This window comes from Homo sapiens, chromosome 3 (genome assembly GCF_000001405.40).
Source record: "Homo sapiens chromosome 3, GRCh38.p14 Primary Assembly".
In the NCBI taxonomy this organism is placed as follows: domain Eukaryota; kingdom Metazoa; phylum Chordata; class Mammalia; order Primates; family Hominidae; genus Homo; species Homo sapiens.
In genome coordinates, this window is record NC_000003.12 from 156,413,342 (window position 1) to 156,428,877 (window position 15,536).

The following is a 15,536-nucleotide window of genomic DNA, read 5'->3' on the forward strand; positions in this document are numbered from 1 at the left end:
CTGTCTTCTGAAATAAGGTGAAATGAGTTGCCCCTAAGTACCAGGAGCAGAGCTTGGAGTCAATCTGTGTTTGTCTAATAACAGCTTGCACTTACAGAGCATTTACCATGTGCCAAGCCCTATCTTAAATGCTGCAACCCTCACATTGAATCCTCACAACAACCCTATGAAGTAGTTTCTATTATTATCCCCATGTAACAGATGGGACACAGAGAGGTTCCATACATTTCCCAAGGCTTTGCTGATAGTAAGTGATAGAGGCACTGCCGCACTATGCTGCATTTCACCACTGCACTCAACTGCCCCGTGTCTTCTGGCAAACCACAGAGCCTCCCTGGCCAAGAAGAAAGTCATAAGTGAGTAGCAATACTGTCTTTATCCACAGCAAAGCGATAGCATTACAGCACCCACTGTGAGCATCACTGAACAGCTGTTATGCACCCAGCACTGTGCTAGGTGGTGGGAATATGCAGACACCTTAGACACAATCCCTGGCCTCATGGATCTCAGTCTGGAAGGGGAAATAATCTCGTACACAATAACCATAAGATGCACTGTGATATATCGCACTCTGACTGCAGATGTAAAAGACATGGCACATAGAGAAACAGGCATTAATTTTCTGTTCCTCTGTCAAGGAAAATGAAAGGCAGACTAATGCATTATGGCTGAAAGCATTTACTTTTGATTAAGTGTATGTTTAAATATCACCCTCCTCCTCAGTCAGGCTCATTCCTCAGTCTCTGCTACATTGCTGACTTTGCTTTCTAAAGAGAAAGTGAGATATTCACCCACAGTAAATGGAATAAGAAAGATATAAGGCATAGAAGTCCTACCTCAGATTTTTTTTGTTTTTGTTTTTTTGCCTTTGAAAACTCATCACAGTGAAAACTAATTACAGCTCTCATCACAAAGAGAATGCCAGAGAAGGCTTTCCCTTCATTTTGTGGAAAGAGCTTTAAATAACATTACATAAAATACACAGGATCCCAGTTAATTTGAAATATAGTTCAAAATATGTAAAAACCAAATCTGTGATCTAGTAATACATACACTTCTTTATTAATGTATTAACAAGTTCTAGGTGTGGGTCAATTGCCACAATTTCCAAGTGGTAATGAGTGTAAATGGTGAGCGTAAATGATTTTTTGATGTCTTCAACTTTGAAGTGATACAAAAACACCTGCAGTTTTTGATGGTGTCAAAGTCACAAACAGTAACATGAGTACTTATGGGGTTTCTTGCCTACACTGAGAATGGAAGGATATGCTAACTTTCAGTTAAAAGGTGGTGAAACATAAAGATGTATTTTTCCCATTCAAGTTTATGTATCCGCAGATTATATGCCCTTGAGACAGAGGTTCCAGATTCTTCTGATTTAAGACTTTTTGAGTTACTGATGTCCAGCTTTTCTGCTGCCTTAGATGCTTGAGACAGGAAAAGCAAAGAGTAGCTCTTATTTAAGGGCTAAGTAGACATGAGTGGGCACTTCTCAAGCCCCACCTCCACAGAACACTCAAGTTTGTATGGTTATATCCATACAACTTTATGTCACAGCTCCATTTTCCCTGGTCTGGTGATCATGGAAACAGTTCTAAACACCTCAGATTTCTATCATTTCTCCAAAGTGCCACCTTCTTCTTTGCCTCTTTTATCTGTCTTCATCCTCTGATTCCCACTTTTTCTAGTGACTCTAGCAAAATAACTTACAATTCACATATAATAGATTCAGGCTATCTGCAATGTCTAAGCACAAATTTATCTAGGCTGGAAGATCATTAGGGCAACTGAGAGGATCATTAGGCCAGGGAAGTGGGTCTTGAAAGTCACAGAGGCAGCCTTCTACCAGATTTTGTACCCATACCAGAACCAGATTCAGTGTTTAAAATAGCGCTTTTCCTAAGAAATAAGAAAGGCAGAAAGCAACTAACACTAATTGAACACTGAAATATGCTAGGACTGGTACTGCATTTATATTTTCTCACTTAACTGTCAACAAAAGTAGTGTGCGATGATTACCTCCATTTATGAATGAGGAAAGAGACTTTAAAAAGCCAAGCAACCTGCCCAAGGTCACACACATCTGGTGAACACCATTTCTACACCTTTCCTCTCCTTGGCCCACTCAGCCCGGCTTCCCATCCGTGACACAACTGGAATGGCTGCCACAGAAGTCAACAGCCATCCCCACAAAGCTGAACATGAAGGGAATTTCTCCACCCCACTCGCTGCGCTCTATCTCATGGCAGACTTCAACACTGCTGCCCACTCACTACCTGCTGAAACCATCCCCTGCTTTGGCTTCTCCACAGACACTTTCCTGATCTCCATGTACACCTTTGCCGCCCCTTCTCAATTTTCTTTGCCGATGCAGCTTCCTCTCCATCATCTGTGGTGCTGGAGCTCCTCAAGGCCCCATCGTGGGCCCTGTTCACTAACAGAATCGGTTCCCTCAGCCGCTGACCCAGCCCATGGTGCCTGTTACCCTGGACACTCAGAAAATCCCTCTCCCCACTCTGAGTTACAGGCAATTAACCTTGGATGTCTCATGGATATTCAGTCCCCACGAGATTGCCCAAAGATCCAAAACCGTTGTTCCCCCAATGTCCCCAATGAACACTCTACTTCGGTGAAAAGCACCCCTCTTCACCCAGCTGGCCAAATCAGAAACCTGAGAATGGCCTGTTATTCCTCCTTTTTCACCCTCATATTCAATCAAAATACCAAGTCCTGTAGATTTTACCTACTGGGGATATCTGGAATCTTCCCCATCCTCTCCACTCCACTAAATCCGATTTCAAGGTAGCACCATTTCTCATCAGGATTAACTAAGCAGCCATCTAGCTCCTCTTCTTACCTTCCTTCAACCCATTTTCCCTGCTAACATCTTCCATTACTCCATATTAAGGTCAAAATCTGCAACATAATCTTTAAGGCACTGTTTTATCTGGCTCCTGCCACCCTATCAGACTCATGTAGAGCCACTCAACCCTTTGTTCTCCCCTCCTCTATTGCCTAGAACGTATTTCAGTTCCTCAATTACCCATGCTTCTTCCAGTCTCTGAGCCTTTGCACATGCTGTTCACTCTGTTTGAAATGCTGATCCCTGCTCTCTTTACTAAGTTTCTTCCTACTCTTCCTTTGGATCTCAGTTTAAATATTACTTCCCTAGAGAAGCTTTTCCTAACCACGCATATTAGGTCAGCTTTCTGAGGGTCCCAATTTTGTATTTAGGGCCTACTATCCTTTTATTTAATATTATAATCAAATAATTAATCTATTTAATACCTGTCTCACCTCCTATGACATAAGCTGCACGAGAGCAGCAACTATCTGCCACTCAGCCCAGGCTCACAGCCTAGTCTGAGGCCTGGTACATAGGTGAAATTTGGTACATCTTCTTTGACCTAATTAATTAATTATAGGAAAGTCTCTTTTTTCCACACTTCTCTAGACTTTTCTAGAAAGATACGGATCATCGGGTGTTTTATTTGTCCAAAGAAAATGAATAAGAACCTAGTCAGAATTTGCAATTGACAAATGACTTAAACTTTTAAATCAAAGAATCTGGAAGAATCCTGTTCTACTTTGTTGCTATTTTTAAAAAGGTAAGAATAAAAGTTTTGTTCTGCCACCTGTCAATGTCTGTCCTCAAAATGCCTGGCTAAATCATTTGTGTGCCTGGTGAATCCCAAATGAGTCATTATTTACTTACCAACAATGATGAACAGTGCCCTCATAAGAAAATGTTATTACTATTTGTAGCCACCTTCATGGCTGTCAAAATGTATGTTACCTTGTAACTATCAAAACCAGCTGGCTGGCAAATGAACATGATTTCTGCTCATGTACATTATTAAATGTGCATTTCTTAAAAAAAACAAACAAACCCAAATCTCATATTTGATTAGTAACTTCCAGGTAAGGCAGAGTATAATTCAGAAGGATCAGAAAGATGTTCAAATAGAGTGAGACAGCAAATGATGTAATTCTCTGACCACATGAAAACCAGGTCAAACCCAGCTTGTTTCTGCCAGCCTGACACAGCTGCTGGAGCCCCTTGCATATGCTTTCCAGCTGTCCCTGTTACGTCAACCTTTAAATCGGGGATTTTGCCCCATGCATATGCTTCTTGCTTGGTCAAATGCAAGGCACATATTTTTGCAAGCTACTTTTCTCAGCTGTTTAAAATTGTGAATAAGGTCTAAGATACGTACATCGAGAAACAAGCCATTTAAAACAACAAATTTGGGTTACGAATTTTCTGCTTTTAGCCTCTTTGACTTGTAAAGAAACTGTGAGCATCAGAGTGGCCTGCAAAACTGAGCCTAAGAGATGCTTGATTTCAGTTCTCACTACTCCAGTATTGCCTTAAAAGAAAAAAAAAAAAAGCCTGGTGGCTGCTCCATAAAGTGAGGCTAGGAATTACATTCAGTGCCTCTGCCATGGAACAAATCATTGTCCTGAAATAAGGTCAGCCATGTATTCACCGAGTGGAGAGTCTGCCTTCAGAAAGAAAGGGGAATCACAACCTTTGAGCTCTCAAGAAGCTATATCCCTTCTCCACATAACTCTTTACTGACGCTGTAGGATTTCCAAAATTTGACTGACAAAGCTAAGTGTTCTGTGCCTCCACATTGATGTCATTTGTTTCTAATATTAGCAGCAGAGCAGTTCAGGTTCACCTGAGAAAGAGGAGCTTTTATTTTGAGTTGAACAGGAGCAGATACTAAAAATGAACATGGTGAGACTTGTTTTTGATATCTCTGACATAGATAAAATAGTTAAACCTGTGCAGTGAAACAATTTTGAATCAAATGGAAAAATAATTCATTCTAATTGGCAATTTGATGTGCTTACAGAATTTTTATGTAGCCTCACTTATGGGAACACTGAGGAATTAAGAAATAGAATAATATCATATAAAGTTGTTTTTCTGCACAATGTCACATAAGATTATGAGGTATTTGTGAAAATTCTACATGAGTGAGATAAAGGTTCCAGGGTATGTGTTATAGCCCAGCATGATTAGTAAACTTGGTCATTATTTGATATTAAAGCCACACAAACAAGCTGCTGAACTCATTAGATCAAATGTGTCAAGTATTTGGGCTTCTATTACACATCAGATCTTAAGTGGCTTAGAGTAACTGGACAATAGCTACATCTTCACTTAGTACTGCACAAACATGGATAGAGACAGGAGGATGCAGACGTGCCATTTGGAATAGCAGAAATCATGTTGGGATTTCATGCCCTGAATTGGAGGTAGCTAGTTCCTCCTACCTTCTCCAGCTGCAAAGTGAGTGGCACCATCCTGTGTTGGGAGTGCCTTAAGTGGTACACGTCTCACAAAGAGACTTGCATCTGAGCAAAGTTAGAGCAATGCACACAGAGACCCAGATATATCTCATGCAGAGAAAATGCCTCTCACTTTAAAAGTGACCACCTGAATTTCATAACTGTTCTATCTAGAGGATGAAGGTATTTGGAAAAATAATTAAAAGTATTAGAGTTAAGGGAAACAAAAATATCAAGGCTTAAGGTGGGGACCTATCACCACTATAGCAGTATTAGTCTGTAACTGAACTTTTCTTACATTTTAAAATCTTGTAAGGCTTTCATTCCAGAAAGGCCATCTTGGGCGTTTAAACAGCAGTGGCAAGAAAATGGGCCATTAGTACTTGCTAGTTTGCAGTTTGTTTTTGCTGACAGTTCTCATGTTTGGTCTTCAAAACCCATAACAGAGTGATCATTATCTTCAGTTGCTGCCATAAGGAAAATAGGACTGCCATCAGGAAAATGGGTGCTGAGATGTTGCTAAGTACCCAGTGATATAACTTTGCCTTATTTGAGTTTGTTAGAACAATCTCTGAACTAGCGGGGCACGGTGGCTCACGCCTGTAATCCCAGCACTTTGGGAGGCCGAGGCAGGTGGATCACGAGGTCAGGAGATCGAGACCACCCTGGCTAACACAGTGAAACCCATCTCTACTAAAAATAAAAAAAATTAGCCAGGCGTGGTGGGGGGTGCCTGTAGTCCCAGCTACTCGGGAGGCTGAGGCAGGAGAGTGGCATGAACCCGGGAGGCGGAGCTTGCAGTGAGCCGAGATTGCACCACTGCACTCCAGCCTGGGCAACAGAGCGAGACTCCGTCTCAAAAAAAAAGAAAAAAAAAAAAAAAGAAAGAAAAGAAAAATCTCTGAACTATAGAGACTTAGCCTTAGAACTGTCTTGCTCTATAGAGTTTTCTACAAGTCACTTCTCCCTACTGAAAGACATTAAAAATACATGAAAACCCTTTTCTAGATCCTTTTCTCCATGATACCTACAAAGTTATGCAAATATAAGCCTGAGGAAGCCACCACCTCATGTGATCTCCACGGTAAGATGTATCCCATGTTACTGGAATTACATGTTGGTTTTTCTGTGTCCCTCAGTGGACTCTAAGCTCCTTGAGGGTACAGGACCATGCCTTGTTCTTCTCTGTATCTCCATGACTTTTTAAAAAAATTCTCCCTACAATATAGCATTTGCTCTAGATTCCTACCCCTTAAAATCAGTAGACTTTTGGACTACCAAGAAAAGTCTTTGTACATCTATTGATTTCTGAAAAACTACTAAATGAACAATTTCTTATAAAAATTATGTTCACTGGAGCAATCCAATTATTTTCGTCCCATTTAGTGGTTCAAAATATTTTCCACATGCATCTTTATGCAACAGTTTTCTTCCAGTTGGACATGTCCAGTTCATATGGGAAAATTTAGCACCATGTCTGGTTGGAGGGTAGGAGTCAGAAAGCACCAGAAATCGCTATGCCTTGCATTTGTTTACAGTATAACACTTTAGCACACATTCTCACGATCTGGCCCTACAAACAGTGATGCTATGCAAATGGCATAGACATCAACGCTACATCTTCCAAATGAAGAAACTCAACCCCGGAAAGAAAAGGGAGCAATTTCTACAAGGTCACCCAACTAGTTGTGACAACGGGTCAAAAGCCCGGGTCTTTCAACTCTTTGCATTTTTATGCATTTTTTATTATGTTGTGCAATTGAATGTGTTGCTTAGGTGGCATTTTATAGACAACATTAATAAGCAGAGGAAAAACATGTGATGCAAAAATGGGAGTACTAATTGCTAAGTCTAAAGAAACCAAAACTGATGACAAATCAAGGGAGAACTTGGGATAGTTCAGCTGTGCCACCAATTTGGAAGTTTTATTTGTGTTGTTTCCTTTGGTGTGGGAGCAAGAAGGGAAACTGTATTTTTATGAAAGCCTTTTATCAGAGAATAAGGGTGCACTTTTCTACAATGTTACAGTTATTTCAGCTTTGCCTGCTCACTTTGGACCCTTACACTAATGCTATGAGGCACCCTGTCTCTGAGAATTTGTTTTTTTCCTCTATGCTAGTCAGAAGACAAAAATGGGTTGAGTCTGGATTTCCACAAAGACTTATAGGCAAATGCATACTAGAGCTCCTAGTTCTATCCTTGTTTAGAAAGCAAAAATATATTTCTTTTCCTTAAACTTTTGGGAATAAAGAAATATCTGATGTTCCCGTGGTAATTTTATGTAATCTTGAATTAAATATATATACACACACACACATATATATGTAATATAGTTAAATATATATCTATGTATTATATTATAATATATTAAATATAGGATATAGTTAAAATAACCTAAAAGATAGTTTTATATTTGTTATTTTAATAATTCACATCCATTAGAATTAATATTCTGTTTTAGAAGTCAGTTTGTTAGTCAGTAAGTCAAAAATATTTATTAAGGCTCTACTTACCGTGTGTCAGGCCATTCAACACAAATCAGAACTGTTCTGTGACCTAAGTCTAGACCAGGATGGTAACTGAGGAAGTAGTGAGAAGTGGTCAGTTGACAAATAATGAATGAATGGTTGGTGAATAAGTTAAAGAAGTTTACCCTCAAGAAACTCAGATTCTAGAAGGAGAGAGAAAGCCAGTAAATGGGTAAACAAGTTAATAAAGAAGACAATATGAGACTGAGAAGCTGTGTTCTGTGAGGGACATTTTCTGTGCTGCGCCTGAACAGATTTTGAGCTTCCTGATGCCTGAGTGGCCATGCAAGGGAGACCTGTCTCAAGACAATATGCCGGCATCTGTGGTTCTGCCTCTATCAGGACTCATCAAGAATCTGCCAAAATGGAGATACAATATCCACTTATGCATGTACAGTTCCACCTGAGGAAATGATGACCAAGTGTTGCTTTGTTTTTATTATAGGAATCTTGGAAAATCAGGACTCAGAGTTTCTTGCTTGGGTCTTGGTAAGTACTGAGGGTGTGACCTGGGGGTGGGCTGGAAGGTGGGAGACTGGGGAGGGCACCAGGGAGTGACTGTGGTCTAGGCCAGGACCTGGTCTCAGATGAGGAGGAGGCTTCCTGGCCAGTATTGCCCCACTTCTCCTTTGAGCCTTTCTCTTCCCATCATGACCCTCTCCCAGGGAGCCACCGTGTTCATGATTCCTTATAGGGGCCCGTCGAGCATAAGGCAACCTGATGCTAAAGCACACCTCAGAGAAAGGGACTCATGCGTCACTCCCATTTAGCAAGCATGAAGGACTGCATGGCATGCATTTTATAGGTTCAGTTCACCACTCCCTCAATTCACCTGAATTTTTTCTATCTATCCTTGTTTTCCCTTTGCCTAATTTCCTCACTTTTCTATATTATTATTATGCATTTTATATACTTTTATAATCTGCCTTAAATATTTGGGGGGGCAAGGTGAGATACACATAAACACATGTACATTAATATGCATTAATAAATAAAAAGTATTATTCCTCCCAGTCAATATTTGAAGAGGATTAAATAGAGATGGCAATTCTAACAGCATAAAGATGAATCTGAAGTCGTGGAATCTGACTGTGAGACTTGGGGAGGCTTGAGGCCTCCAGACATCCCTTAGGCCCAGGAAAAGGCAGCCTTGGCATTCCTGCCATTCAACACCAATCAGAGCTGTTCTGTGACCTAAGTCTAGACCAGGATGGTAACTGAGGAAGTAGTGAGGAGTGGTCAGATTGTGGCTATGTTTTCAAGGTAAAACCTGAAAGATTTTCTGTTGGGTTCTATGTGGAAGATGACAGAAAAAAGTCAAGGATGACTCTAAGGATTTTTTGCCTGAGCAACAGACAGGATGAAGTATGAGTAAATGAGGTAGAAAAATGAGAGAGAAATTTAGGGAGATTAGGAGATTGATTTGGGACATACTAAGTTTGAGATATCGATTAGGCCTGCAATAAAAATTGTCAAGTATGCAAATAGACTTATGACTCCAATTTAGAAAGGAGAGCTAGATATATTAACTTGAGAGTCATCAGCAAGTAGATGCTGTTTAAGCCCGGATCCTGGATGAGAGCACTAAGGGTGTGCTTATAGACAGAATAGAAAACAGAGGCACATGGTCTAAGACCTAGGAAATCCAACATTAAGAAATCGAGAAAGTGAGGAGGAGCCAAAGAAAGCTGAAAATAAAGCAACCAGCGCAGCAGGAGAAAAATCAGAAAAAAAAATGGAGTCCTGGAATCCAGGTGAGCATTTCGAGGAGGATGGAGTGACCAATCCCGTCAAGTGGTGCTCATGCATCAAGCAAGATGGGGACCAAGAATTGACCATCGGGTTCAGCAACATGGAGGTCATCAGTGACTTTTACAAGGTCTGTTTGGGTGGAATGGTAGAGTTTAAAGCATAATTGGAATGGTCCCCTGGGAGAATGGAAAGAGACAAGCTGAAGGCTACTCTTTTGGATGATGATTGCTATAAAGAAAAGCAGAGAAATGGAGTGGCACTGAGCAGACAAGTGGGATCAGAGAGGTTGCTTTTGCACGTGGAAGAAATGACCACATATTTATACACTTATGGGGAAATCCTTTTGAGAGGAAAAAATGATGCGGAAAAAGGAGAGAGAAGAATATCTGGAATGATTTCTTGAGGACGTGAGAAGCACACAAGGAGACAGTACATGAAAGAAGCAGAGTACATGGGCTTTGAGGCTAGTAGGGCGATTGATGGGGTGGTGGAGGGGGAGGTATTTTGTCAAAGTTCTCTTCTATTGCTTTTATATTCTCAGTGGGAATCAGAAGCAAAATCATCAGCTGTTAGTGAGGATGAGAAGGAAGTGTTAGAAGTTTGGAGAGAAGACATGCGGGACAGAAGAGTGAATTGACCAGGGCTAGGCCACACAGTGACAAGATAGCATTAAGGATCAGCTTAAGATCAGTATGATTAAATTTGAAGTGAGACCATGTCCATAGTTATGTGTTTTTCTTCTAGACATGTTCAGCTTTGCAAGTTCAGGTGGGTTTTTGTTTTTTTACATAAGATGATAAAAAGAGGGCAAAGATGCTGAGGGCTTGTGTTGGGCAGTTATTTTAATGGTGGAGTTGGCATTTAAACTGAGTAGAAAGGAAAATGAGGACAGAGTCAGGAAAATGAGCCAGGAGCTAAAATGAGGGAGCTGAGGGACTGTGAAAACTGGATAGGATCAATAAAGTATATATCCCAGAGGGACTAAAGAATTGTTGAAGCAAAAACATTAGAGACAGTGGTTGGAAGGATAGAAAGTGGTTGAAAAGGGAAACATTTGAAATTGGGGTTACAGAGGGGTTCAGTTATTGTTAGTGACATAGTCTATGGTGTGTCCATTGGGAGAGAATGGTGGAGATTGTATCGAAGACAAGATCAGTGAAGGAGAGAAGGTTAAGAAACTTGGAGGTGAAGGTGCAGGGAAGATCATCTTTGGGGTCACTGAACTCACTAAAAAGTACAGCAAAACTAACATTGGAGAGTGGCAGTGAGAAGTGAGCTAAAATTTTCAAAGAATGAGAGGGAGTGACCAGGGTGGGTCAGCAACTACAACATGAGGGTCCTGATGATGTGTGAGACTCAGAGCTGGCATGTGTGAAGGGGTATTTCAAAGATACTGAAAGCCATCAATGTCTGAGTTTTTCTGATTCTTCCTAATAATCTGACTTGGGAGGTGAAGGCAGTATTGTTCACCATAAGTCTAAGGTAATTTGACATTTGCTTAATTTATGGCTCTGATATTGTTACTATTTACTCATATTTGAAAGACCCTGGAGATTCATTACCAGGGACACTCTGACCTTAGTTTTTTTTTAAGTATATCTTTACAGTAAATAACTATTCGGTATTCATTATTGAAAGGAACTACCTATTAATGTAAAGTAAGAAATATATGTAGTGAAAAAGCATTGCCCAACTATTTACAAGCTTGTGTCTACGGTGGAAAATAGTTTAGTCAATAAGTACACAGAAAACTCAGCTGAAAGCCCTTAAGACAATAACAAATTCAGGTGCCCATGCAATCCCAGTCTCCAGAGGCCAGTCTCCAGTTTTTGTTGATTTTTGTTTTCTTTAAAACTGCAGACTGTGTATGAGGTGCAGGCATTTTAGTGAACTTTGAAACAGGCTTGATTCAGGAGCAGCAAGTTCTATTTGAGCTTCAAGTTTTTTCAAGAGCCTGAACACTTGTAATAAGACACTGCATGAAAAATAAGAGGAAACAAGGAAGTTCATAGGGCTGACTTGCTTCATTCAAAACAGTTAACTAAGCTTGACAACTTGAATAAGCACTCTTTCAGAACTTTTTTGAACTGCCTCTATAAGCCAGAGGAGACAAGAAATTCATAGAAAGAAATAATGCACCAGCCTTAGATAATTTGTCAGGCTCTGCAGACCCCAGCTGTCAAATCCAAATGGAGCTGGGTTTACTGCTGCAGGCTTAGGATGTCAGCTCAGTCACGACCTACGTTCAACTGAGGCCTTAGAAATTAAGTAGTAAAACTGCCAGGAAATCAGAAAGCTACAGATTCTTTTCTTGAAATACTCTAAAAGTGATAGTTAAAGCTAACAATTCTGACTTTCTTCTCTACCAGAGAAGGGGCAGCCGGAAATTCCTTGCCCTGACAATTTTCCTTTTGGTGAACTAAGAGCAAATGTGTAAATGGGAGTAGAAAGGTGAAGTAACTTGAGAGTGAACTGATGGTACATCCGAAAGAACACAGCCCTGCCAAGGAGAGAAATGGGAAAAAATATTAATATTATGTGGCCAATCCTACCTGTGGGTTGCTGTGGCTTGCCTGTTCTGTAAATATACTGCCCATTATTGTCAAGACTTGAAGTCAAAAAACTCATGGGAAAGGAATAAACTCAGAGTGACCAAACTCACCCCGATCTGATAGGAGGTGGAACTGCCTTATGAGAGAAAAATGGTAGAATTTACGTTAATTCACTCATTCATTTATTCATCTTAAGCAAACATTTATGAAGCCAGACATTGGTTACAGAAGATACGAGGACAAGAGCATGGAGCCTGCCCTCAAATTTATCATAGTGCAGTGGGAGTTAGGCTTGCAAAAAAACAAACTGATAATGTATCTGACAGATGCCGTAATGGAGAGTACAGGGCAAGTGAAGCGTGAAGAAGGTCTCCTGGGGGATTTGGGATAGCTTGATGGGGGAACAAGGGTTGCCACTTGGCTTGACACTTGAAGAGAGAAGTCAAGTGGAGAGGGAGGGCAAGAGGTTTAAGACAGGAAGCAATGCAAGCAACGGCGACTCCAGAGGGAGACTCCACCGAGGGGAGGTACTTGGGGAAATGGGTCACATGTATAGAATATTATGAGTACAAGGTATTGGGGAACAGCAAGAAATGAGCCTGGAAAGAAAGCTAGGTTTGATTATAAGAACCCTTGTTTGCCTTGCTAAGCCATTTAGCTCTTGTCTTCTATGTCTCTGGAATTCCTTCAAATCCAAAGGTCCCCAGGTCTCAACAAACACTTCAGGGACAAGGAGGAGCAAAGGCTCCATCTCTCTCCACTCTCTTCCTTCCACCTGCCACAGCTTCCATCAAAGCAGCCCACTTTTTCTGCATATTATTATTATTATTTTAAAAAAATAGACTATGTTTTAATGCAGTTTTAAGTTCACTACAAAACTGAGCAAAAAGCACAAGGAGTTCCCATACACCCCTATCCCTACACATGCATAACCTCCCTCGTTATCAGCATCCTTCACCAGAGTGGCACATTTGTTACCTCTGATGAACCTACAGTGCCACAACATTATCAACCAAAGTCCATAGTTTACATTAGGGTTCACTATTGGTGTTGTACACTCTATGGGTTTTGACAAATATATAATGACTTGTATCTACCATTATAGTATCATACAGAATAGTTTCACTGCTCTAAAAAATCCTCTGTCTTGCCTATTCATCCCTCCCTCTCCTCTAACTCCTGGAAATCACTGTCTTTTTACTGTCTGCATAGTTTTGCCTTTTCCAGAATGTCATATAGTTGAATCATATAGTATGTAGCCTATTCACATTGGCTTCTTTCACTTAGTAATATACATTTAAGTTTCTTCCATGTCTTTTCATAGTTTGATAGTTCATTTCTTTTTAGTGCTTCATACTACATTTTGGAAAAAAAATTCATCCTATGCCAAAAACAGTTATCAAAACCTTGCTCAAGCTTGTGATAAGCCATTGAAAACCTTGGGTCAGGAATAAGACATGATCAAAGGTATTAGAAGCAACATGAAGGCTATAATAGAGGGAACAGGGTTGAGGCTGGAGGCAGGGAAATTAATTAGGAGTTGATGATGAGGCAGTGGTATGAAAGATGTAGAGGAAGGAGGTGATTAGGAGAAAGAATGAGTAGGGCTGGTGATCTCTGGATACAGAATAGGAGGTCTTCCTGAGTGCAGGAAGATGCCCAGACTCCTGGATTGGGCATGGGGGTGGATGAGCTGAAATCTCAGAGACAGGAGACACAGGAGGGAGCTGTGAGGGCAGACAGCACTGTTGGGGAGTGGTGACCAAAGAGCTTGTGACCTCCCAGCTTCAGATATCTAGAGAACAAGGGGAACTCTGTGGAGATCTCTAGGCTGGAAATACAGACCCAGGAACTTCTCACAGTGATGACCCTATGATTGTCATTGAGATCACCTGGAAACACAGAAGACTGAGGTGTTTGGACAGGTTTAGGACATCTGGCTCATGGTGTCTGCCTGAGTGTATGCTCCCTGAGAGCAGGGACTGCCTATTTTTCTACACTCCTATTGCACTTTAGCAGATCACAGTATCTGGCTAGTAGCAGGTATTCAAAATATTTTTGAGTGAATGACTGGAGAGATGATCAATTGCTAAGAAATGACAAAAGGTCCACTGAATAATAGCAAGGATGCAGCTGAAGTCAGAAATCATGAATTGCTGAGGCCCAGCCCAGTTCTTTGACTTCCTCCAGTGGTATATCAATGAAGAGACAGAATTGTGGGGTAGGGAGTGGAGATAGAGAGAGGCCCAGCATCAGGGATTGTCCTAAAAGAGCGTTGGAGACCGGGGAACCTACCACATACACAGGTGATATGGGGTCTAGGCTGGGTTTAGACCCAGAGCTGTTTCATCAGGGCTCTTGCTTCTACAGTTAGAAAGGAGCATCTGCCCACACTGACTTGCTCCAAAAGTCTCACATTAGGAGCAGTAGGCCGGTCTGATTCATTCCATGGGAGGTAACACACCACAATGTCCAGCTCACCTGTGTGTGCTTGAAAGGGGCTGACTTTACCTTCCAACATTCACTCTGGAATGGGCATGCTTCCCAGCAGGCAAGATGTCTGCAAGAAAAAAGGCACATCATGGTTAATTTGATGTGTCAACTTGACTGAGCCATGGAATGTCCAGATATTTAGTCACATTTTATTTTGGGTGCACCTACGAGGGTGTTTTGGAATGAGATTAACATTTGAACTTACAGACTGAGTAAAGCCGATTGCCCTCCCTAATGTGGGTAGCACTTTCCCAATCAGTTGAAGGCCTGAATAAAACAAAAATACTTGCCCTCCTGTGAATAAGAGGGAATTCCTGCCTGACCATTTCAAACTGGGACATTGATCTTTTCTTGCCTTCAGACTCAAACTGAAACATCAGCCTTCTTGGATCTTGAAGGCTGCCAGCTTTCGGAGTAGAACTATACCATTAACTCCTTTGAGTCTCTAACTTGCCAACTGCAGATCTTGGGATTTCTTGGCCTCCATAATCACATGAGCCAATTCCTTATAATTCCTCTATACACACACACACACACACACACACACACACACACACACACACACACCCTATTGGTTCTGTTTCTCTGGAGAACCCTGAGGAGAGATTTTGTTGATTTTTTTTTCAAAACATCATGCAAGTGTATGTGGCCAACCAGAGTTAAGTATTTGTAAGTGATATAGGTAGGAAGATATGGAAAACCTAAGTAAGGAGTAATGTGGTCACTTGCTCATTTTTCAGCTGAGCACATATTAAACCTAATGTAAAATACCGTCATCCAAATGGAGCTTTCCTGGGCTGTTCGCAGGTCAAGAGGACAATTTATGCAGCCCTGTCAGATAGGGTTTGATCTGGACCTAAGCAGTGAAGGAGAGAAAGAACACCCCCATACCTTTGGGTCCCTGTTTCAC

At 41.0% G+C, this 15,536-nt stretch overlaps 1 protein-coding gene across 8 annotated transcripts in view; it reads left to right on the plus strand.

The window, feature by feature from the left end:
- The window catches only part of KCNAB1 (potassium voltage-gated channel subfamily A regulatory beta subunit 1), a 420,928-nt gene that overhangs the window by 295,131 nt on the left and 110,261 nt on the right, over nt 1-15,536 (plus strand). For all 8 annotated transcript variants that reach the window (XM_017007171.3, NM_001308217.1, NM_172160.3 and 5 more), the window contains exon 2: nt 8,275-8,318. In XM_017007171.3, coding sequence (XP_016862660.1) covers nt 8,275-8,318 — 44 coding nt within the window. The remainder of the gene's footprint in view (nt 1-8,274; nt 8,319-15,536) is intronic.